Source organism: Homo sapiens, chromosome 14, assembly GCF_000001405.40.
Source record: "Homo sapiens chromosome 14, GRCh38.p14 Primary Assembly".
Classification (NCBI taxonomy): Eukaryota; Metazoa; Chordata; class Mammalia; order Primates; family Hominidae; genus Homo; species Homo sapiens.
In genome coordinates, this window is record NC_000014.9 from 52658990 (window position 1) to 52682728 (window position 23739).

The following is a 23739-nucleotide window of genomic DNA, read 5'->3' on the forward strand; positions in this document are numbered from 1 at the left end:
TAATGGAAGGAATGGCAAAGGGAATAAGCAATAAACTGGAATATATAAAAACTCAAAACATCTATTTGTCAGAACACTTCATAAACAAAAGCAAAATGCAAACAACAAACTCAGTAAAATGTATGTTGCAAATATGTCAAAGGGATTAGATCCTAAATATATAAAAAGCTCATAAACTAAATAAAAATGCTAAAGTGCCCCCTTAAAAAAGAGGTAAATAATATGAATTTAAAAATTCACAAAGGAAAAAATACATATGGTAATAACAGACAAAAATTGTTTGGTCTTACGGGCAATAAAAAATGCAAATGAAAACAAAAGATACATGACTCTACCTATCAAGTAAGATAAAAATATGATCATCTTTAATGCTGACAAGTGTTGGACAAAACTACTTATATATAGAAAACATAAATATCAAAATGTTAGCAGAGAAGCGTATCTGGTAGTAACTAAGGGTATGGTTCCTGGAGTCAAACTGCCTGATTTAAATCTTAACTCTGCTACTTACAAATCATATTATTTTAGTCAAGTTGCTGAACCTCTCTTCACCTATAACATGGAGACAGGAATAATACCCCTAGGATTGGTGAAAGAATTAAATAAAATCATATTTGTAAATTGCTTAGAAAAGTGCCTGGCACAGAGTTATTATTATTAATTATTTGGGGATGGTGGGATTATAAGGAACTTATTTCCTTATAAAAATTTTCAAGGTTCTTTTTTTCAAGTTTTTGATCATGAATTAGGGAGTTAGGGGATAATACTGCTTAGGACCTAGGCTTCCAGTGAAATTTTCAGTTCAGTGTTTGTGTGTGTGTGTGTGTGTCTGTGTGTCCTTTTTAAAAAAAAAAAAAAAGAAAAAAGACAGTCTTGCTCTGTTACCCAGGCTGGAGGGCAGTGGCTCCATCTCAGCTCACTGCAACCTCCGCCTCCCAAGCTCAAGTGATCCTCCCATCTCAGCCTCCCACACAGCTGGGATCACAGGTGTGCACCACCACGCCCAGCTAATTTTTCTATTTTTAGTAGAGACAGGGTTTCACCAGGTTAGCCAGGCTGGTCTCAAACTCCTGGCCTCAAGTGACCAGCCAGCCCTGGCCTTCCAAAGTACTGGGATTACAGGCATAAGCCACCACGCCCAGCCAAGAAATCAGTTCAATATTATAATCCTGAAGTACCTGTTCTCAAGTTGACCTGACTGTGGTCTAAACAATCACTTAATATGATAGCTCTCAGGAATAACCCTTTGATATTTGGCCAAAATCAATACTTATAATAAGACAGTTTCTCTAAGGATGGCTCCCACAGGTTAACGATCTATTTTTCTGATAATAAGGTCTTCAAATAGAATTGAAAAATCATAGTAGCCTCCTCTAATGTGGCTAACAATATAGCATAGAACTAGGTTAATACTCAAGGTAAAATAAGGTTACTTGAAACTGAAAATCATAGAATCACATGTACCAGTAGCAAATATGAGGCATCTTTGGAAAAATAATCTCACTGCTAAACAATTTCTCTTCCAAACAGTTCTGAGTCAGCATTTTATTTAGCTGCTACAGTTAATATAATATAAAGCACAATAATAAAATAGCATTGTTATCAGACTTTAGTATTCTGTTATTTAGACATAATGCAAAAGCAATTCATAAGAATTATGTTCAGAAAATAGAGGATTTTGAGGGAAAGAAAAGTGATACTTCACATTTTAGCAATTTCACCTAGATAGACTAAAGCTAAGCACCATTAAGTCTTTTCATATTGTTAAGCATATGGTCTTAAGAATAACAAATGTCATTTCATTTTCACCCTTAAAGCAAAAACACAAAGTAAACCTAATGTATGCTGAAACTGTTAGCATTAGTTAGACTTGGCAATGACACCTACATCCAACAAGTCAGCATCAACCTTAGAAGCCAGCTCTGAAATCAATACTCATCATGCCCAGAACCTTCCTACATGAAACCCAGCAGATCCTAGAGTTCAACCAGTAAAAGAGAGAGGACATTTCCCTGGCCTGAGGCAATGGGGGAGACGGGGAGTGGACATGCTTCCACATTCAGAGAGGTAAAATGTGCAAATGAATGATCAGAGGCTGAGGCACACTGTTTCTAATGCCTGAACCCAGACACAAAGTCACTTTCCCTTAATCTGTGCTAGTACCTCCAGACTTTCAGATAAATAAGTAAAACTTAAGTTCTTCTGATTTTTAGAGGTGAGAAGAAAAAAATAAACTTTGCCATAATAAACATCTGAATGTATAAACAAATTCATATATGTAATATATAATAAATTATACTTACCTTCACTTGTCCCTGAAAAGCAAAACAAAATGTTTATTAAAATAAATTCCTTCCAGTGCCCCTTTTATAATGCTACACTTTCATAAAAATAAGACTTTAATAATGGTTAGTTTTAGTCCAACAGTTCATTCACACAAGTAAAATCTGAAAGTGAGACATTCGTGACTGCAACTCTATCTGGTAGTGATATGAATTATGCCTGATTTGACTAAATGGTGTTATCTCCATGAGTGTACATAAAGAGGTTCAGCTCATGTGAGATTTAATATACCCTGACAGGAGAGAAAAAACTAATCCATCACCTGAGAGTACTCTTCAATATCTTAAGGACCTACGTTTACTTGGCTGACAGAGACTTTTCCACATTTATTTATCCTAAAGCTATAATGTAGTTTCTGTTAAATATTATTATTATTGCTTTGAAACCTCCAGCCTGGCCTTATAATATTTAACCTTAGTCGGGAATATTTTCATAGACTATTTATAAGATTCAAATTATACATAATACAGTAATTTGTGTGCAGCTGCTTATTTACTACTGAAAATTTGTCTTCAAAAATTTTGCCCACTTTTTTTAATGCCATCGGTTTATTAAAGAAATATATAATCATTGCAAATATATGTTTTTAAAAAAAAGACAAAATAAAAAATTATTCATAATTCCCCAGCTCAAAGATAAATACTATTTACATTTTAGTGAATATCTTTTTAGTTTATAGATATATTATAAATTTATTATACATATTGTTTTGATACCTGATTTTCCTCACTGTGTTATTGGTCACTTTTGATTTAAATGAATAAAAATTTACAGCAATATTTACAATGGCTATTTTCTATGTGACTATACCATAAGTCATTTAACCAGTTCCCTAATGATAAACATTTAAATTGTTCCTATGTATCTTTATGGTAAGTGACGTGGTTAATTACTTTATCAAATCATAATGTGAGATCATAATGATCACCTCTTTTCTATTAATTTGCATTTCATCTGATATTAAATCAATGGCTTCCACTGAGTCACCACATGTGACTCTGTATAAACTCAAAAGCCTTATTTAAAGATTTTTCATTCCTAATCTAAGAAAGAGAAATCTGCCAGAATTTAGGGAATGATGCAATCTCATCCCCTTCTAGGAGGAAATTTATATTTATTATTTGAGATCAGCATCTTTTCAAATAAATTTTTAAAATGAAAACCTTACACTTTTGCTAAAAGCACATTAAAGATTTTAATCAGTAAGCACATATTTGAAGAGAATAAGGATACATAATTTCTAAAGAAAAAGTCTGAACTCATACACTGAAATGGCTTATTCAACAAACCATTCTTCATATTACAGATGGGGTAGGGTTTTTGTAAATTTTAATTTTACATCCCCTCTGGCATCTACACAGTGCCTAGCAGGTAGTAAATGGCGGATAATCATTTGCTGAAAGAACAACTGGCTTTCACTATTGTAGACAAGACCATTAAATGAAGAGAGCAATTTTCACTGATCATGTATCTAACAAACTACTCCATCTATTATGTGTCAGGCTCTATATAGAGAGATAAAACAGATAAATGCTACCCATATGGCAGAGTACTAGGGTAGATCGATAGATACATAAATAATAATAAAATAATGCTACACAGTGGGAAAGGCCGTAAGAGGAAAACAAGTAAAAACAAACGCATGCATCAGATTACTTCATGAGGAGGGAGAAATACTTCTGGTTACAAGGACCAGGGAAAGTTTTATGGAAAAAGCAGCATTTGAGCCAGACCTTGAGTGAAAACAGAATATTAAAAATGTTATTAAGATATAAAGACATGTAAAGTTGAAATCAGATGCCCAATATTTGCAATAATTTCAAGTTTTAGAAAAAATTTGAGAGTTTGGGATATTTATTTATCTGTGGGATTAAAAAACTGACATTTTACTATGTCTGCAAAAATATATAGAATAAATATATATCCTAATCTTTATTTTTTGATAATCTAATACCAGGAACTTCATTATAAAAATACTTTTTACTGGCCAGGGGCAGTGGCTCACACCTGAAATCCCAGCACTTTCGGAGGCCGAGGCGGGTGGATCATGAGGTCAGGAGATCGAGACCATCCTGGCTAACACGGTGAAACCTCATCTCTACTAAAAATACAAAAAAATTTGCTGGGCGTTGTGGCGGGCGCCTGTAGTCCCAGCTACTGAGGAGGCTGCGGCAGGAGAATGGCGTGAACCCGGGAGGCGAAGTTTGCAGTGAGCCAAAGTCACGCCACTGCACTCCAGCCTGGGTGACAGAGCGAGACTCCATCTCAAAAAAAAAAAAAAAATACTTTTTACTGAAGTACAAATAATTTAAGCACCAATCTCTGCAAGCGTGAGGCATAACTCTATGGAAACAGGACTGTGGATTATATGACTTCAACTGTTACTGTCATTTATCTTGCCTTCCCCTTCCTTTGAATTAAAGTTCCCTGGCTGAGAAATAATATAACAACGCAAATAAGTAATTTACCTTGACCAGAAGCCAAAGGATTTAAAGGTCTTTTAATTGTCTGTGGCCTAGAAGTAAAAAGAATTAAAAATATCAACACAAATATGTTACCAATCATGTTATATTTAAGTGATATTATCTCAGAAAACTGCTTAATATCCAAAATCAAATTGTTTTATTGAGATTATAAAACACTTAGTTTCCTCTAATTGCTTTAAGGGAGGGTGGCTATTTGTTGTAGTGATAATAGTTCCTGATCTTCTCCCATTGTGGCGGCCAGCAGGCCATTTCCTAATCACTTCTTCAAACAAAAGAAGAGAAAATATCAGCCAAGCTCTTCTCTCGGAGTCACTACTATGTTTTTATATATATTATATATACATATCTATGTATATGTGTGTGTGTATGGCACAAAGTGTACCCCTAAATGAAAGACAAATAAGCAAAAAATATTCAATATAAGCATTAAAATTTAAAAATGGAAAAAAAATAGTGTAGATTATTTTCCACTTAGGTAATCTTTAGACACATCAATTTGCCCTGTAGCTAAGTTTGTTACAATTTAAATAAAAGTTGTTTGTTCAGTAGGAAAAAACAGAAATTTTCTGGAGAGTTACTATGTCATTAAAGTGCTTTTAAATCCCAAAATAAATACGCGTTAGTATTAATAGTAAACTATAGGGATTGTTTTAACATCTATTTTAAAAATTTGCAAAACTGGAGACATTTTGAGAACAGAATATGTAAGCTGTATTTTAAAATACACAATATAATTAACTTAGCCCTTTATACATTGTTTATATTGTTAGAAATTATGGGAATCAGGACACAAATTAGTAAGAAAATGACTACAAAAGTAATACAAATCTAACAAATGCTTCATGGATTCTTTTATTATTTTTCTTTGAGACAGAGTCATTCTTTTTTTTTGAGACGGAGTCTCACTCTGTCACCCAGGCTGGAGTGCAGTGGTGCAATCTGGGCTCACTGCAAGCTCCGCCTCCCGGGTTCACGCCATTCTCCTGCCTCAGCCTCTCGAGTAGCTGGGACTACAGGTGCCCACCACTACGCCCGGCTAATTTTTTGTATTTTTAGTAGAGACGGGGTTTCACCGCGTTAGTGAGGATGGTCTCGATCTCCTGACCTCGTGATCCGCCCGCCTTGGCCTCCCATTCTTAATTCACACTAAAAATAACAACAACAGGGCCGGGCGTGGTGGCTCATGCCTGTAATCCCAGCACTTTGGGCATGGTGGCTCACCCCTGTAATCCCAGCACTTTGGGAGGCCGAGGTGGGTGGATCACCTGAGGTCAGGAGTTCAAGAACAGCCTGGACAACATGGTGAAACCCCGTCTCCACTAAAAATACAAAAATGAGCCGGGTGTGGTGGCGTGTGCCTGTAGTCCCAGCTACTCAGGAGGCTGAGGCAGGAGAATCGCTTGAACCTGGGAGGCAGAGGTTGCGGTAAGCAGAGATGACGTCACTGCAGCCTGGGCAACAGAGTGAGACTTCATCTCAAAAAAAAAAAAAAAAAACCTTTAAAGTAAATCTTTAAGTCAGTAAATCAAACATTTCTAATAATAGTCAAGATAATTTAAATAAAATACATGGCAGAAATAAGTAATTAATAAAAACTCTCTACTTTCCAAACTGGAGAAATTCTTCAAGTCAAAAAAAAAAACACCACAGTCTGACATTTTATTGGTGTAAGCACAATTACTGATCTCATACTTATATTTGACTTATAAAAAGTGAAATATATAATATTATCCCCATATTTGGGAACTCCAAAGACTTTCCCAGAACTCTCTCCATCTCTAAGACAGCATAATGTGCTCGCACATACATTGATCCCAAAACCAGTGAGTACAAAGTTTAGCACCTCAAGACTTACGTGTGAGTAACCTGAAGCATTTCTCAGATACCCAGTGATCAGCAACTGCCTCCAGCCTAATGGTTACCCCGTACAAAGCGGGCTCTTTCACTTACTAGATCTTTGACACTGAACAAATCATTTAACCTCTCTAAGTCTCAGTTTCTCTGTCTATAATACAGTGATGACTGCAACACAGGGTTATTGCAAGGACTGAAGAAGAAAATGTATATAACATGCTTACCACAATGCCTAGAATACAGTGAGTGCTCAAAAATGATACCTATTATAATTGTTCTCTGAAATCAATTTAACTGTAAAATAATTAAAGCCACAGACAAGGGTGTACAGAGCACCAAAAAGAGAATTAAGAGTTGTATATTCTTTTCTCTACACTGCCACTGTGTGATCTTGGGAAATGAAGCAAACCTCTCCAGCTCTAGGTTACCTTAACTATAAAATGAGATCCTATAATCGACTCAAGGAACATTTGTCAAGGGCCTACAATACTCCCATAAAGGTCTAAAGGAAAAATCTGTGGAAACTCACGTCTATATATTTCCCCAGAAGGAAACTGGATTAATGAATAGTCATGTTTCCTTGTACAAACACATCTTTTAACAAAGTGAATTTGATTTTTAATTTTAAATCATTATGATTTTGTTTATAAAGAGAAATCACCACATCTTATAGGAATTTTTCTAAATGAAAATGACACATACTTAAAACAGTTTTCTTCGTAGATGACATTCCATATTTTCCAAGCATCTGGTCCCTTGTAACCAGTGTAGCGCTCAGGATTAAGAAGCAAATCTACATATTCAGCTTCAGGGGACTGAATGTCTGTAAAATAAAATGTCTTATTAAACCTTTCTTATCCTCAGTTACCTTAAAAAGCTACTACACAAGACTGTATTCCATTGATTCTAACGCACCACAAATATAACAATGTGTCAGGAATTTTAAAACAACTTTTCAGGAGAAACAAAGGAAGGAGGCCGGGTGTGGTGCCTCACACCTGTAATCCCAGCACTTTGGGAGGCCAAGGTGGGCGGATCACTTGAGGTCAGGAGTTCGAATCCAGCCTGGCCAACATAGTGAAACCCTGTCTCTACTAAAAATACAAAAATTAGCCGGGCGTGGTGGTGCACGCCTGTAGTCCCAGCTACTCGAGAGGCTGCAACAGGAGAATCACTTGAACCCGGGAGGCGGAGGTTGCAGTGAGCCGAGATTGCGCCACTGTGCTCCAGCTTGGGTGACAGAGCGAGACTCCGTCTCAGAAAAGAAAGGAAGGAAAAGAGAGAGAAACACACACAGCCACATTAATTGTACACACTGGCTACAAAAACATTATGATTTAGGAATTGTAAAAATAGGAATACGTGAATTTTAGAATCAAAGAAACATGGTAATTCAATTATCATAAGCTATTCAGACAAAGAATATAACATACATTTCCCTCCACATTAACCACAGCAGTTCATCAATAACTACAGTAAATGAAGGAGTGTTAGTATTGTACACTGCGTGTTACCAAATACTTTCTTCTTAGATGACCACCAGCAGATCCAATCTGGCCAAAAGCAAAAGTTACAATGCAGCATGATTCTGTGTCAACATTATTTATAAAAGGGAAAATTGGAAGCAACCTAAACATCCAACATCACAGAACAGCCAGAGCATGGGCTCTGGAGCCAGAACACCCAGGCTAGAATCCAGACCCTGTTACTTATTTATCATTTATAATGTGTTATAACTTCAAAACAAAAAAGATGGTCGGTCCCAGGGTGGGCACGATGGTTCATGCCTGTAATCCCAGCATTCTCGGAGGCCTGGGGGCAGACTGCTTGAGCCCAGGAGTGATTCTAAAATTCACAGGCAACCTGGTGAAACACCAGGCATCAATAAAAAATACAAAAATTAGCCAGGCATCATGGCACGTGCCTGTGGTCCCAGCTACCCAGGAGGCTGAGGTGGGAAAGTCACTTGAGCCCAGGAGGTCCAGGCTGCAGTGAGCCGTGATTGCACCACGGCACTCCAGCCTGGGCAACACAGTGAGACTGTGTCTCAAAAAAAGATGGGCCATAGTCCTCCAGTGGCTTTGGGAAATTATTTGGTACTATAATAATACTTTATTCATATATAAAGCTTAACAGTATGAGCCAACAAAGAATTAAAAAGTGGACAAAAACGGTCTCAATGCAACCAAAGTCAATAACAAAAATATGAGCACAAAAGTGCTTAGAGTCCATCAAGCTCTCAACTATACCTATTTTTATTATTAAAAAAAAACCACAAAAACAAAAAAAAACCCTAAGCTTGGTTATTTTTTACTCCAATTCACAGTATATTAGAAGCATAAATTAGGGGGAAATTTGCTTCTAGAAGCAGTACAATGACGGCATCTTAAAATAGCAGAGTTCAATGCAGAAGTGGCAATTAAAATAACTAGAAAAACAAAATATAAGGACTTAAAAAACAAATTAGCATGGAATCATCTAGTTCAGGAATGGATAACTGTTCATTTCAATTAATACTAAAGGCAAGTGCCACATATAAATTATAATAAATTCATTTTTTAAACCCTGATGTTTAAAATATATAAACAGCAGGCCAGGCATGGTGGCTCACGCCTGTAATCCCAGAACTTTGGGAGGCTGAGGCGGGTGGATCACATGAAGTCAGGAGTTCGAGACCAGCCTGACCAACATGGAGAAACCCCATCTCTACTAAAAATACAAAATTAGCCGGGCATGGTGATGCATGCCTGTAATCCCAGCTACTCGGGAGGCTGAGGCAGGAGAATCGCTTGAACCCGGGAGACAGAGGTTACAGTGAGCTGAGATCACACCATTGCACTCCAGCCTGGGCAACGAGAATGAAACTCTGCCTCGGAAAAAAAATAAAAATAAAAATGAAATAAAATAAAATACATAAACAACGGTCAGTATCCAGGACTTTGAGAAAACTAACCACCAAGAAATGATTAAATTTTTAAATATTCTACCTAGAGATAAACATTTGTTGCCTCATAATTCTACTTATTATAAATACTTCATTCTTCTTCAAGCTTATAAAAAATAAATATTACTATATTATTATATTACAAATCTTATAATTATACTATAATTATAATTATAATTATACAATTATATTTGAAGTAATACTATAATTATATTAAATATTACTATAATTATATTTGTGCCAAGAATTTTTATGATGCGCTGGTTCCTATCACTGAATAGAACCTGAAGTTTTTCATAGAAAACTAGTCAAACATGTTTTGTAAAATCTAAGAAAAGACATTTAAGAGCCCATTTGGCCCTTATAGGAAAATGCCAATATCCAGCCCTAGAAGCAGAAAACATGCGTTCTGCAAAACCTATATGATATGCTGTTTTCTATCACTGAATAGAACCTGTTTTTGACAAAAGCTCAAATTTCCAATTAGGATTTTAAAAATACTTTCTATATTTCACGTACCATTTACATCCATTATTTATTCCTGCTAAAGCTTTCTTTAAAATATTCAGCTTTTTTTAACAGAAGACACTAATACAAATGGGCAAGTGATTCACCAAACTCTACCATATAAGAAATGAATCATTGATTCTCACCTGGTGCTGCACATTGTAGTCACAAAAGGATGTTAATTAAGGTTAAAATATTACCATCCTTTTTCTAACAGTGGAGGACTAAAAAAAATTATAGCTGCATACTATAAATTTAGTTTTATCTCACAACAATATTTAAGGTAAAAAAAAAATCCTTGTAGAAAAGATGGCAAAATAAGGGAGTTGGGAGAACATCTTATCCCCTTCCTTCACTAGTCCAAATCTTGATATAGGTCTATACCCCTCATCCAACATGCCTGGGACCATGCGTGTCTCGGCTGGAATGAACTTTCCAGATTTTACAAAGGTAATACAGTACATGCAACATATATCGCATATTACTCCAGCTGGACCTGGGGGAGCAATCTTTATTCAAACACGTAAATATTTCTACAGTGAAACATATACTCACACTAAATGAGCCTCTGCTAAACGCAGGGGGAGAAATGTTCAGTTTTCAGAGTTTCCAGATTTTAGAATTGGAAATAAGGAATTATAACTAAGTATATACCAAAACATGGCTACGGTTTCCATTAAGGAAAGCAATTTTCCCCAAAAAGAAGCCACAAAATTAAAAATACTTTCTCTTTTATGGAGATTGTAGGCTGCATCTTTGGCTTATAATTAAAAGAATTTATATCACTGTTTTCACTAATTTTTTGTTGTGTTGTTTTGAGAAAGGGTCTCACTCTGTCCTAGGCTTGGAGTACAGTGGTGCAATCAGAGCTCACTCCAGCCTCAACCCCCTGGATCAAGCAATCCTCCCACTCCCCGAGTAGCTGGGACTACTGGCACACACCACCAGGCCTGGCTAATTTTTGTATTGTTTGTAGAGACAGAGTTTTGCCATGTTGCCCAGGCTAGGCTCAGCAATCTTCCCTCCTTGGCCTCCCAAAGTGCTGGGATTATAGGCATAAGCCAACAAGCCAGGCCCGTTTTCACTAATTTTTGAAAGAGCGTTAGTCCACTAGAAAAGAGCCACAGAAGAATACCAAGACTCAATTTGATTTATTTTTTTTAGTGAATTAAGAGGCTAACAATTCAACTTAGAAAAAGGAAATACTAGAAAAAGGAAGAATTGGAAAATCTATACATCTTGATCAGAGTTGTTTTTTTGGTCTTTTGTTTTTTTGAGACGGAGTCTCGCTCTGTCACCAGGTTGGAGTGCAATGGCACAATCTCAGCTCACTGCAACCTCTGCCTCCTGGGTTCAAGTGATTCTCCTGCCTCAGCCTCCTGAGTAGCTGGGATTACAGGCATGAACCACTGTGCCACGATCAGAGTTTTAATGAATCTGGGGCTCCTAGCTTTTAACAGCAGCAGCACTCTGGCTTAACTTCAGACATCACAGACTCGACTAACGGTTCAATATTCACTTCTCCAAAAGCAACACGGACCATCATTAAGGAATATACATAACAATCCAACAGCAATGTAACTGAAGCAGATTTTTGTAATCCCTAAATTTTAGCTATTTATACAAAATGTATATACAAAATTATATAAACCACAAGCTACATAGAACTGCAAAACTTAAGAGGTACATTTTTTCTAGAAACTGAGTTTTTTTAACTGTAATAAAATTGATATAATAAAATTTACAGTTTAACCACATTTAAGTATACAATTCAGTGGGATTCATTATATTCACAGTGTTGTGAAACCATCACCACTATCTGTTGCCAGAACTTTTCCAGCACCTCAAACAGAAACTCTGTAACCTTTTAGCAATAACGCCTACCCACCCCAACCTCTGATAATCTTTAATCTACTTTCTGTCTCCATGAATTTGCCCATTGTTTACATTTCATATAAGTGAAATCATTTATACTTGTCCTTTGGTGCCTGACCTATTTCACTTAGCATGTTGTCAAGATCCATCCGTGTTGTAGTATGTACCAGAACTTCATTCCTTTTTCTGGCTGAATAGTATTCCATTGTGTGTTTTATATACCACATTTTGTTTATCCATTCAAACAGTACTGGACAATTGGGTTGTTACCACCTTTTGGCTATAATGAACATTGCTTTGCCATCTGTTTGAGTCCCTGTCTTTAATTTTTTTGAGTATATACCTAGAAAAGGAACTGTTATGTCATATGGTAATTCTACGTTTAGGTTTTTGAAGAACCGCCAAACCGTTAGAAACTGAGTTTTTTTCTTTAATAACTTTTTTCTGAGATGGGTCTTACTATGTTGCCCAGTCTGGATTCAAATACCTGGGCTCCAGTGATTCTCCTGCCTCAGCCTCCAGATAAGCTGGGACTACAGGCACACCACCATGCCCAGATTAAAATAATTAAAAACTTTTTTTTTCTTAGGTATAATTTTAAACACAATGCATACTATCAAAAATATTATACCATCAGCTTCACAGAAGTTATCTGAAGAATCATCATGCTTGGTCCACTGAAGAACAGCCTTCTGTGTTTCCTCACTTCAAACAAAGAAAAAAAATAACATTATTATTTTTAAGTTAATATGTAACATAAAGAAACATGAAATACTGCTGAAAAATAAAATCAAACCTCAGAGATTCATCCACTGCTCCAAGTCGTTCAGCTTGTTCACATTCTTCAATGAGATTATTGGCTTCTTCAGAATACTAAAATGAAAAAGGGAATAAATAGATAATAACTTATTGCATTTTTAAAACTTGTTTAAAATTTAGAAGTTATCTGAAGCTCTTTTTATTTTTTTTATTTTTCCAATATGTTCTTATTGCTTTTAATTTTTCATAAAATTGCCCATAATCAGGCCAGGTACGGTGGCTCACGCCTATAATCCCGGCACTGTGGGAGCCCGAGGCAGGTGGATCACCTGAAGTCAGGAGTTTGAGACCAGGCTGGCCAACATGGTGAAACCCTGTCTCTACTAAAAATACAAAAAATTAGCAGGGCGTGGTGGCAGGCGCCTGTAGTCCCAGCTACTCGGGAGGCTGAGGCAGGAGAATGGAGTGAACCCAGGAGGCAGAGCTTGCAGTGAGCCGAGATCACGCCACTGCGCTCCAGCCTGGGCGACAGAGTAAGACTCCGTCTCAAAAAAAAAGAAAAAACATTCTCTCTTTAGGTAAATATGTGGAAATACTTTAGCCCAAATATTTTCACAAGTTCTATTCTTTTGCCCCTAAAGTACATTTCTACAATAAATATTTTAAGACAAAACATCAAATAAGTTGTCTCTATGTTTTCATTATTTTAAATGTTTTGACAAATTTAAAGCCTGGGTGTGGTGGCTCATGCCTGAAATCCCAGCACTTTGGAAGGCCAAAGTGGAAAGTTTGCTTGAGGCCTGGAATTAAAGACCAGCCTGGGTAATACAGCAAGACCCCATCTCTACAAAAAAAAATTTTAATTAGCTGGACATGGTGGCATGTGCCTATAATACTAGCTACTCAGGAAGTTGAGGTGGCAGGATTGCTTGAGCCCAGGAGTTCGAGGTTACAGTGAACTATATAATCTTACCACTGCATTCCAGCCTGGGCAACAGAGACAGACCCTGTCTCTGACCAAAAAAAAAAAAAAAAACAAAAAACAAACAAACAAAAAAAATTTGGTCAAACTTAGATACTATGAAATTGTAATCCTCAATTTCATTACATCTCAGATCAGAATATAAATGTATCCAATTCAAAGCAGAGTTCTATCAAGAAGATATTCTTGCCACAAATGGAGATACTCCCAAACACATTTATAACATTTCAGAATACAATTTCTGAATCATATTAAACACCATTTGGACTTTCCTCATTTAATGTGTTTGATTTCTCTCTACTTTTTGTAGGTATAAATTTAAAGGCCTTTGTTTACAAGCTTTGTTATAATGATTTTTTTTTTTCTTTGAGAAAGGGTCTCGCTCTGTCGCCCAGGCTGGAGTGCAATGGCATGACCACAGCTCACTCCAGCCTCAACCTCCCAGGCTCAAGCAATCTTCCCCTCTCAGTCTCCTGAGTAGCTAGGACTACAGGTGCACACTACCATGTATGGCTAATTTTTTAAATTTTTTTAGATACAGGGTTTCACCATGTTGCCCAGGCTGGTCTTGAACTCCTGGTCTCAAGCAGTCTGTCTGCCTTGGCCTCCAAAAGTGCTGGGATTACAGGCATGAGCCACCACATCTAGCCATTTTGCCATAATTGCAATTTGCTAAACCTTAACAGCTAAACTTTGTTTCTTCTTTATGCATTCCATTCATTGATACTTATTTTTCACTGATTTAGAACAAATTGCAATAAAAACTTAGAGGGTTCATTTATTAAAAACCAATCAATACTACTGAGAAGCTCTTGGGTTGTTTTACAAATTAGTTCTTCGAAGCCTCAAAACATTTATAAAATCTGATTGATAATAGACAGCAAAGTAAGTACTATCATACTAAAACCATACCAAAGTAAATTTTTTCAGCATCAGCTTCATCTCAAAAATTTCACAATCATAACTTAGTATATATATAAATCACATACTAATTTTAACAATTACTCCTTTTTTTTGAGACAGGATCTGGTTCTGTCACCCAAGCTTAAGTGCAGTGGCACAGACTTGGCTCATTGCAATCTCTACCTCCAGGACTCAAGCAACCCTCCCACCTCAGCCTCCTGAGTAGCGAGGACTACAGGTGCATGCCACACACTCAGCTTATTACCACTTCTATCTTAACTGGTAAAATATCACAGCTTGTGTGGACACAATTATGAATTATTTGTATATTTTTATTACAAATGCCATTTGTTTCATAGATTTCTTGATTTATTAAGGACACTGGTTTTTACCCAGAACATTGCTGTTATAAAAATTTATATGTGTACTACCACAAACAAATATTTTATCTTCAATTTTGAGCTTTAACTGAATTTACACTAGCATTCACAATAGTGACAAATGTTTTCCTTCAACAGAATGAACTTCCAAAAGTTTTACTTTCAGTCTATCGATTAAATGAAATAAATCGAACAATTTTTTTTTCTCTGTCTCCCAAGCTGGAGTGCAGTGACATAATCATAGGTCACTGTAACCTGGACATTGGGGCTCAGCCTCCTCCTGTCTCAACCTCCTGAGGAGCTAGGACTATGGGCATGCACCACCACACTTGGCTAATTTTTTTTTAGTTTTTATTTGTAGAGATGGGGTCTCACAATGTTGCCCAGACTGGTCTTGAACTCCAGGCTTCAAGCAATCCTCACATGGTGGCCTCCAAAAGCACTGGGATTACACAGGCATGAGCCACTATGTGCCCAGCCTCAAGCAATTTGTTAAATGAAATTATTTTCTATTTGAAATAGTTGATAATGACACCATTTAACTATGTGCAAAGTTCTTCTGCCACTGGAACCAAGTGAAAAGCTATTAATTCATTCTTTGACTCTGTGTGTGTACAAGAAAACATGGAATTAAAAATGAGCAAAATTAGTTTAGAATCTATGATGGAAAATGTTCAAAACAGTGGTTGCCTCTGAAGAAGGAGTGTGGTTTGAATGGAATGGGTATGAGGAAACTTTGCAGGATAATGCTAACATTCTATCTCTTAATAGAAGCCTAGGTTACACAGGTATATGCATTTGTCAACATTCAGCAAATGCACACTTAAGATTTGCACATTTCATTGTATGGTAATACTTTTATTAAAAGCACATATAAACAAATATTGGACTCTAGTTAATAATATACTTCTACTTACATAAATCCATCTAGCTAATGACTTATTTAGGAGGAGGTATACTGATGCCAGCAATTTACTTTGAAATGCATCCGAAAAATAAGATGTTCTAATGGATGGCTACAAGGATGGACAGATGAACAGACATGTGGTAAAGTGAGTTTATTAAAATGGTGGAATCTAGGCCGGGCACGGTGGCTCACACCTGTAATCCCAGCATTCTGGGAGGCCGAGACAGGTGGATCACTTGAGGTCAGAGGTTTGAGACCAGCTTGGCCAACATGGTGAAACCCCGTCTCTACTAAAAATACAAAATTAGCTGGGCATGGTGGCGCATGCCTGTAATCCCAGCTACTCGGGAGGCTGAGGCAGGAGAATTGCTTGAACCCGGGAGGCAGAGGTTGCAGTGAGCCAAGATCGCGCCATTGCACTCCAGACTGTGGACAACAAGAGCAAAACTCCGTCTCAAAAAAAAAAAAGGTGGTGGAATCTAGGTTACGGGTATAAGAATGTTCAAGGGAAAATTCCTTTAACTCTGCTATATTTTTAATTTTTCATAATAAAATAATGGGAAATTTTAATTTAAAAGTTATTTAGTCTAAATGAAAAGTCACATATCACAGAATGATATGTAAATGTACTCTCTGCAGCTGCACGTTAAATTGTTATCTTTAGACACAGTCTTCTTAAAATAAGTAGTAATAATTGCAATTTGCTAAATCCCCTTTTTTTTTGAGACAGGGTCTCACTCTGTCTCCCAGGCTGGAGTACAGTGGTGAAATCACAGCTCTCTGTAGCCTCGACCTCCCAGACTCAAGGGATCCTCCCACCTCAGCCACTTGGGCAGCTGGGACTACAGGCACACATCCTCATGGCTGGCTAATTTTTGTAGAGATGGGGTTTTGCTATTTTGAGAACAGGCATGTGCCACCACAACTGTATTTTTTGTAGACACGGGGTTTCACCATGTTGCCGAGGCTGGTCTCGAACTCCTGGGCTCAAGTGATCCTCCCACCTCACCCTCCCAAAGTGCTGGGATTGTAAGCATGAACTACCATGTCCATCCTTGCTAAACCTTTAAAAGCTGACATTTTTTACAAATTTGTTGCAAAGTAGACACTGAGGCTTTATCAGCAGATTTCTGTGTTTTGATTTTCATATGGCCAGTGTTATTTTTATGGCCTTTAGGAATAGTGAATGATGATCTTTTGTGCAAGTTACATATCATGATGAACTATCAGGAGAAATGGAAATTCAATATTTTACTTTTCATAAAACATGCACTTCCTTTTTCCTTTTTATTTCAGCCAAAAGGATTCATTGCAAAATAAAAAGAGCATTACCAAACCATAAAATAACTACACAGTTATCAATTTATCAATAAAGGATAAAACTACCACAGCAAGACTATTCTCTCTATGTAGGATTGCTCGGTTTCTATTTATTTACCATGTAATTTCACAGGTTTCCCATTAACTAGTCAAAAGGCAGACTGGCAGCTTAGTAATATTGTGGGTATGATACAGGCCACAGCACAAATGGCTACTAAGTCCAAGAGACCAAGAGGGGCAGCAGTATGCAACACCTTCCCCGTGCTTCCCAAGGCTGTAAGGAGGCAGCTGTCCCTAGTCATTTGTGTCTGAGTGTAATTATTTTTCAGCAAGCACCTAGTATACTGTGCTTGAGACAAAGATTTAGTTTCTTTGCATCTAGAAAATCAGAAGAAGGATACGTTCTTGTTGGTCATCTTTGTATTAAAGTCAGAACTCTATTTAGCATACACATATCAAATAAGAGAGAAGACAACAGAGGAAGATGGAAATACAAAGTATTTGGCTGAGTGTCGTGGCTCACACCTGTAATCCCAACCCTTTGAGAGGCCGAGGTGGGTGAACAGCTTGAGTCCAGGAGTTCGAGACCAGCCTGGGCAACATGGTAGAACCCCCCTATCTACCCCAAAAAAAAAAAAAAAAGTATTTGTCTACCAATTCCATCCCAACCTATTTTAATGCAACTGTTAATAATATTTTATTTAAAACCAAGAAACTCAGAAAAAATGATAAATCAGAAAGGATGTCAGGACAACAGGTATAAGCCAGTTCTGTTCCAGACAAACCCTGGCATATGGTCACTCTATTTACTTCTTGTTGCTTTATAGGGGCTTTGGCCTTTTCTCAGGAGAAATGGGCACGAAGGAGGATTTTAAACAGAGAAGACAGATAATCTCATGTTTTAAAAAAAATCACTTTGGCTAATGCAACCAGGTAATAATCATCAAGGCTGCTAAAACTTTTCAGTGAAAAGCTATTAGGGAGCTTTAAGATGAATGTATAATGAAGCTAGTGATCAATCTTAACATCAAGAAAAAAGAGAAAGGCAGAGATTATATGTTGGTATAACACAATAGTAAGTACACAGTAACTCCTATATATATAATATATATCAAAAAAATGAATCTGAATCTGATAAATCCCCACTGACGGACAGTCTACAAAATGCACCTGACTAGTACTACTCAAAAACACCTTATCAGAAACAAAGAAAGACTGGGAAACTGTTACGGCTAAGAGAAGCCTAAGAACACATGACTACTAAATATAACATGGTGTCTTGGGTGGGATCCTAGAACAGGTAAAGGATATTAGGTAAAAATTAAAGAAATCTGGCCTGGTGTGGAGGCTCATGCCTGTAATCCCAGCACTTTGGGAGGCTGAGGGAGGAGGATCACTTGGTCAGGAGTTTCCACCCTGGGCAACATGGCAAGACTCTATCTCTACAGAATTTTTTTCTTAAAATTATCTATGCATGGAGGCATTTGCCTACACTCTCAGCTACTCGGAAAGCTGAGGGGAGAGAATCACTTTAGCCCAGGAGTTCAAGGTTACAGTGAGCTATGATCATGCCACTGCACTCCAGCCTGGACAACAGAGCCAGACCTTTTATCTTAAAAAAAAAAAAAAAAAAAAAAAAAATTAAAGAACTCTGAATAACATATGGACTTTCAGATACATTTTTTCCTCTATTTTTATTTATCTTTGATATTTTCTATAATAAAATGCTAAACAGGCCGGACGCGGTGGCTCACGCCTATAATCCCAGCACTTTGGGAGGCCAAGACGGGCGGATCACCAGAGGTCGGCAATTCGAGACCAGCCTGACCAACATGGAGAAAACCCGTCTCTACTAAAAATATAAAAATTAGCCAGGCATGGTGGTGAGTGCCTGTAATCCCAGCTACTCTGGAGGCTGAGACAAGAATCGCTTGAACCGGGGAGGCGGAGGTTGCAGTGAGCCAAGATCACGCCACTGCTCCATCTCAAAAAAATAAATAAAATAAAATACATAAAAAATAAAATGTTAAACAAAAACAAACAGAAAGAGAGCCATTCAGCATAAATACCTCTCAAGGGGTTTCACCACTGGAAGCAGATAAATGGGATAGTAGGTACAACGGAAATGGGTTTTTCAAGTTTTTCATTAAGATACTGGACACATCAATAGGTATACGTACACACCTTGTAGCTCGCAGATTTAATTCCATCAGGAACTTCATCCTGAAAAAGAAAAAAATATGTTTTTAGTTGGCATTTATTCTATCTTCTTAAAACATATCTTAAATTTCTGTGATTTATGAGAAAAATTCATATAACAAATTATCGAAGTTGGATTTTTTAACAGAATAGGTAGTATTCATATGATTGCTTAAAAGTAAATAAAAATTCAAGAACAAATTATTCTATGGATTGCTGAGCATACATTATGTATATTACAGCAAGGAGATGTAAAAATAATCATTTAGCCATTATCCCTTTTGATGTTCAAATTGTCCCGTATTTGGCCACTAGGAGATCCACTGAGTGCTGACTTGATATTGACACCTGTGTCCTTTTGCTATTACTCCAGTGGTCCTTAGTAGAATTGTTTTTGTTTTCTGTGATGGCCAGATATTCTAGATTCTTGGAACCTAGGGGTTTGGGTCATGGAGACAGATCTCTCATGAACCGCTTGGTGCCATCTCTGAGGTAATGAATTAATCTACTGGTTCTATTATCTAGAAGTAATAAGTTCTATTATCTAGAACAAATCTATTAGTTCACTCCATACCTGGCACCTCCTTGCTCTCTTGCTGTCTCTTGCCATGTGATATGACAGCTCCCTTTTTGCCTTCTGCCATGATTGTAAGCTTTAGGCCTCACCAGAAGCCAAGCAGACGCTGGCACCATGCTTCTTCCCCCTGCAGAACTGTGAGCCAAATAAGCCTCTTTTCTTTATAAATTACCCAGTCTCAGGTGTTCCCTCATAGCAATGCAAAATGGACTAACACATTTATGTTACTTTACCAGTCTCTTCCCCATCTCCTCATCTGCTATTCCACACTCCCCACAATACTGCCAGTTAACATTCTAACTCTGATCTAATCGTGGCATTTCTCTGCTAAGCTAACATTATCTGTATTTATAAACTAAGAATATTTTTAGATGGATAAATACCTTCCAATGATTTTTTTTTTTTTCAGATAGGGTCTCACTCTGTTGCCCAGGCTGGAGTGCAGTGGCAGATCTTGGCTCACTGCAACCTCCGCCTCCTGGGTTCAAATGATTCTTGTACCTCAGCCTCCCGAGTGGCACCCTGCTATGTCCAGCTCATTTTTGTATTTTTAGTAGAGACAGGGTTTCACCATGTTGGCCAAGCTGACCTCAAACTCCTGACCTCAAGTGATCTGCCTGCCTTGGCCTCCCAAAGTGATGGGATTATAGGCATAAGCCACCATGCCTGGCCTTCCAATGATCTTTTAAAGAAAAAAGCTTTTCTCCATCATAACATCAGTTCAAGAAAAAAACAAGTATTGCTGCCAGGTACAGCGGCTTATGCCCATAATCCCAGCACTTTGGGATGCCAAGGCGGGTGGATCATCTGAGCTCAGGAGTTAAAGACCCCAGTGGACAACATGGTGAAACCTTGTCTCTACCAAAAATACAAAAAATTAGCTGGGCATGATGTGTGCCTGTAGTCCGCCTGTAGTCCCAGGTACTCAGGAGGCTGAGGTGAGAGGACTGCTTAGGCCCAGGAGGCAGAGGTTGCAGTGAGCCAAGATCATGCCACTGCACTCCAGCCTGGGCAACAGAGTGAGACCCTGTCTCAAAAACAAGCAAAAAACACAAACAAAAAAAAAAAAAAAAAAAAACAAAGTATTGGCATGAAAGGCATTCTGCCTTTCACTTCTTCCCAGCTCTGCAGAAGCTTAAAATTACTGGATCCTGACTCAATATTTCAGTGCAAATTGATAACTTCCACCTGATTCTTTTATAGCACTTCAATACATTCAAATCAAACAATAAATATATATTTAACATTTCTCAAATGCTAAAATTGGTTGTTTTCTCTTGGATTTACAATGAAATACATCTCATTCATCAGTCTGTCAACTGATGGAATCAATAAGCTATTATTTTATGCTACAGTATTTTCAGGGTTTCTGCTCCCTCCAATCTTCTTTTCCAAATGGTGTCCCCTAGTTCTACACTTCATCAATAATAATCAGAAATAATTGGTATCTCAAGATGAGATTTGACTTTGCAATAACTGTAAAGTATTTGTATTTTCTAATATTAATAAAAAGCTCATTTAATGAACAAGTATAATTAAACGCCTTTATTAAGCATCTACCATATTTCAGCATTTTTACTAATTCATATAATTAGGATATTGGTAAATGTCCCCAACTAATTTTTTCTATTACTAAATTACAAACGCAAAACTTAGAATACAAAATGTTTACACTGTTAATATCACTTTAATGATATGCTCATGCTTTAATAGTGACAAGGTGTTTCATAAATTAATCCTTTAATTTTCAATAAGTTGTATCTATATGAGGATTAATGTAACAAAAAACATGCTTCTCATTCTCATGGTAAAATGCCCATAAATAGTATATGACATTGGCCTTAATTCCACATGCTAGATAAGTCTGTGTAACAATATTTACATATGTAAAATTAAACCACCCAAAACCACAATACCACTTCACACCTATTAGGATAACTATTATCCAAAAGAATAGAAAGTAAAAGTATTGTCAAGAATGTGAAGAAACTGGAACTCTTGTACATTGCTGGTAGGAATGTAAAACGGTACAGCCACTGTTGAAGACAGTATGGCAGATCCTCAGAAAAAAACAAACGGAACTAACACATGATCCAGCAATTCCACTTCTAAGTATATACCCCAAAAAACTAAAGTAGGGACTCAAATAAATATTTGTGCATAGCAGCATTATTCACAATAGCAAAAAGGTAGAAATAACCCAAAAGTCCATCAACAGGTGACTATATAAACAAAACATAGTATAGGCATACAGTGGAATGTTATTCAGCGTTAAAAAGGAATCGAAGCTGGGCATGGTGGCTCACACCTGTAATCCCAGCACTTTGGGAGGCTGAGGCAGGCAGATCACCTGAGGTTACCAGTTCGAGACCAGCCTGACCAGCATGGACCAACATGGAGAAACCCCATCTCCACTAAAAATACAAAATTAGCTGGGCGTGGTGGCACACACCTGTAATCCCAGCTACTTGGGAGGCTGGGGCAGGAGAATCGCTTGAACCCAGGAGGCGGAGGTTGCAGTGACCTGAGATCATGCCACTGCACTCCAGCCTGGGCAACAGGGTGAGACATCATGTCAAAAAAAAAGGTCAACTTTATTTTAAAAGTAAAATAAAAAGATGTACTTAAAAAGGGAATAAATTGTCATTCAAAAATATTTTTAAAACTCTATTTTCACAGTAGGATACTTCAAATTTTAATGCTCCAAAAATTCCTAAGTAAAACCAGGTGTTTTGTCCACTCACACCCCAGGAAATCCAAGGCAAAAACACACCCGAAAAAAGAGGGGGGGAATTTTGTTTATACTTCGATTAATTTCATTTTATTATGCTATATATATAACTTGGTTCAGAAAAGATGTAAGAGGAAAATCAAATATCAGGCCAAAAGAATTATTATCAATCTCCCTAATAAGTCAAAGGATTATATTAACCACAAAATGTTAATTCTATTATTATGAAGGCAGTGTAATTCAAAATAGGTTTTATAAGTTTGGGTTTTTAACATATAAATATTGAATGTTATATTTAAACTAAGGACTGCACGATTATTTTAGTTTTATTGGCTGCCTTTAAAAAGTTGTAATGGGCTGGGTGCAGTGGCTCACACCTGTAATCCCAGCACTCTGGGAGGCTAAGGCAGATGGATTGTTTGAGCCCAGAAATTCAAGACCAACCTGGGCAACATAGTGAAACCTCATCTCTATTTTTTCAAAAAAAAATTCTTAAATAAAACAAAACAAAAAGTTATAATGAATGAAAAAACATGTAACAGTTTTTAAATGTATACATGGTTCTTACAGATTGACATGGTTTGACAGCACAGTCCCTTCTTCCACACTGGCTGATGTCATTCCAGAAAGGACACGGCCTCTTCAGGTTTACCTGTAAAATAATAATAGAAAAAAAATTATAAAAATCAGAATCCCAAAATTATAATTGACAGTTACAAATTATGGTGCTATAACTTGGTCATGTTATCAGGTGCAAATACAGTATTTCTTCCACCTATCTGTTGCCAGTTTATAACAACTGCATAAATGTGAGGCTGGTATAAGTAAATTGGTAGACTTGGTTAGAAAGACACAGACTGGGCCGGGCACAGTGGCTTATGCCTGTAATCCCAGCACTTTGGGAGGCCGAGGGGGGCGGATCACCTGAGGTCAGGAGTTTGAGACCAGCCTGGCCAACGTGGCGAAACCCCG

General features: G+C 37.2%; 1 protein-coding gene across 14 annotated transcripts in view, besides 1 other annotated feature; it reads right to left on the minus strand.

Annotated features, from left to right (window-relative positions):
* Positions 1 to 23739, minus strand: part of ERO1A (endoplasmic reticulum oxidoreductase 1 alpha) — a 55644-nt gene that overhangs the window by 19075 nt on the left and 12830 nt on the right. For 7 of the 14 annotated variants that reach the window (NM_001382471.1, NM_001382473.1, NM_001382467.1 and 4 more), the window contains 7 exons: positions 23336 to 23419; positions 19445 to 19483; positions 12806 to 12882; positions 12641 to 12714; positions 7386 to 7506; positions 4812 to 4858; positions 2304 to 2315 (listed from right to left, as the gene is read on the minus strand). In NM_001382471.1, the coding sequence (NP_001369400.1) occupies positions 2304 to 2315; positions 4812 to 4858; positions 7386 to 7506; positions 12641 to 12714; positions 12806 to 12882; positions 19445 to 19483; positions 23336 to 23419 (454 nt within the window). Of the gene's footprint in view, positions 1 to 2303; positions 2316 to 4811; positions 4859 to 7385; positions 7507 to 8197; positions 8237 to 12640; positions 12715 to 12805; positions 12883 to 19444; positions 19484 to 23335; positions 23420 to 23739 lie in introns of all 14 variants that reach the window. The other 7 variants (NM_001382476.1, NM_001382468.1, NM_001382465.1 and 4 more) reach the window with 5 other exon arrangements.
* Positions 4612 to 5220: an enhancer, noted in NCBI's record as "OCT4-NANOG-H3K4me1 hESC enhancer chr14:53130319-53130927 (GRCh37/hg19 assembly coordinates)". NCBI's record gives its function as "activates a minimal SCP1, AML or CMV promoter by ChIP-STARR-seq in naive and primed H9 embryonic stem cells {active_cell/tissue: H9 hESC(naive and primed)}" and the evidence as "EXISTENCE:reporter gene assay evidence [ECO:0000049][PMID:30033119]".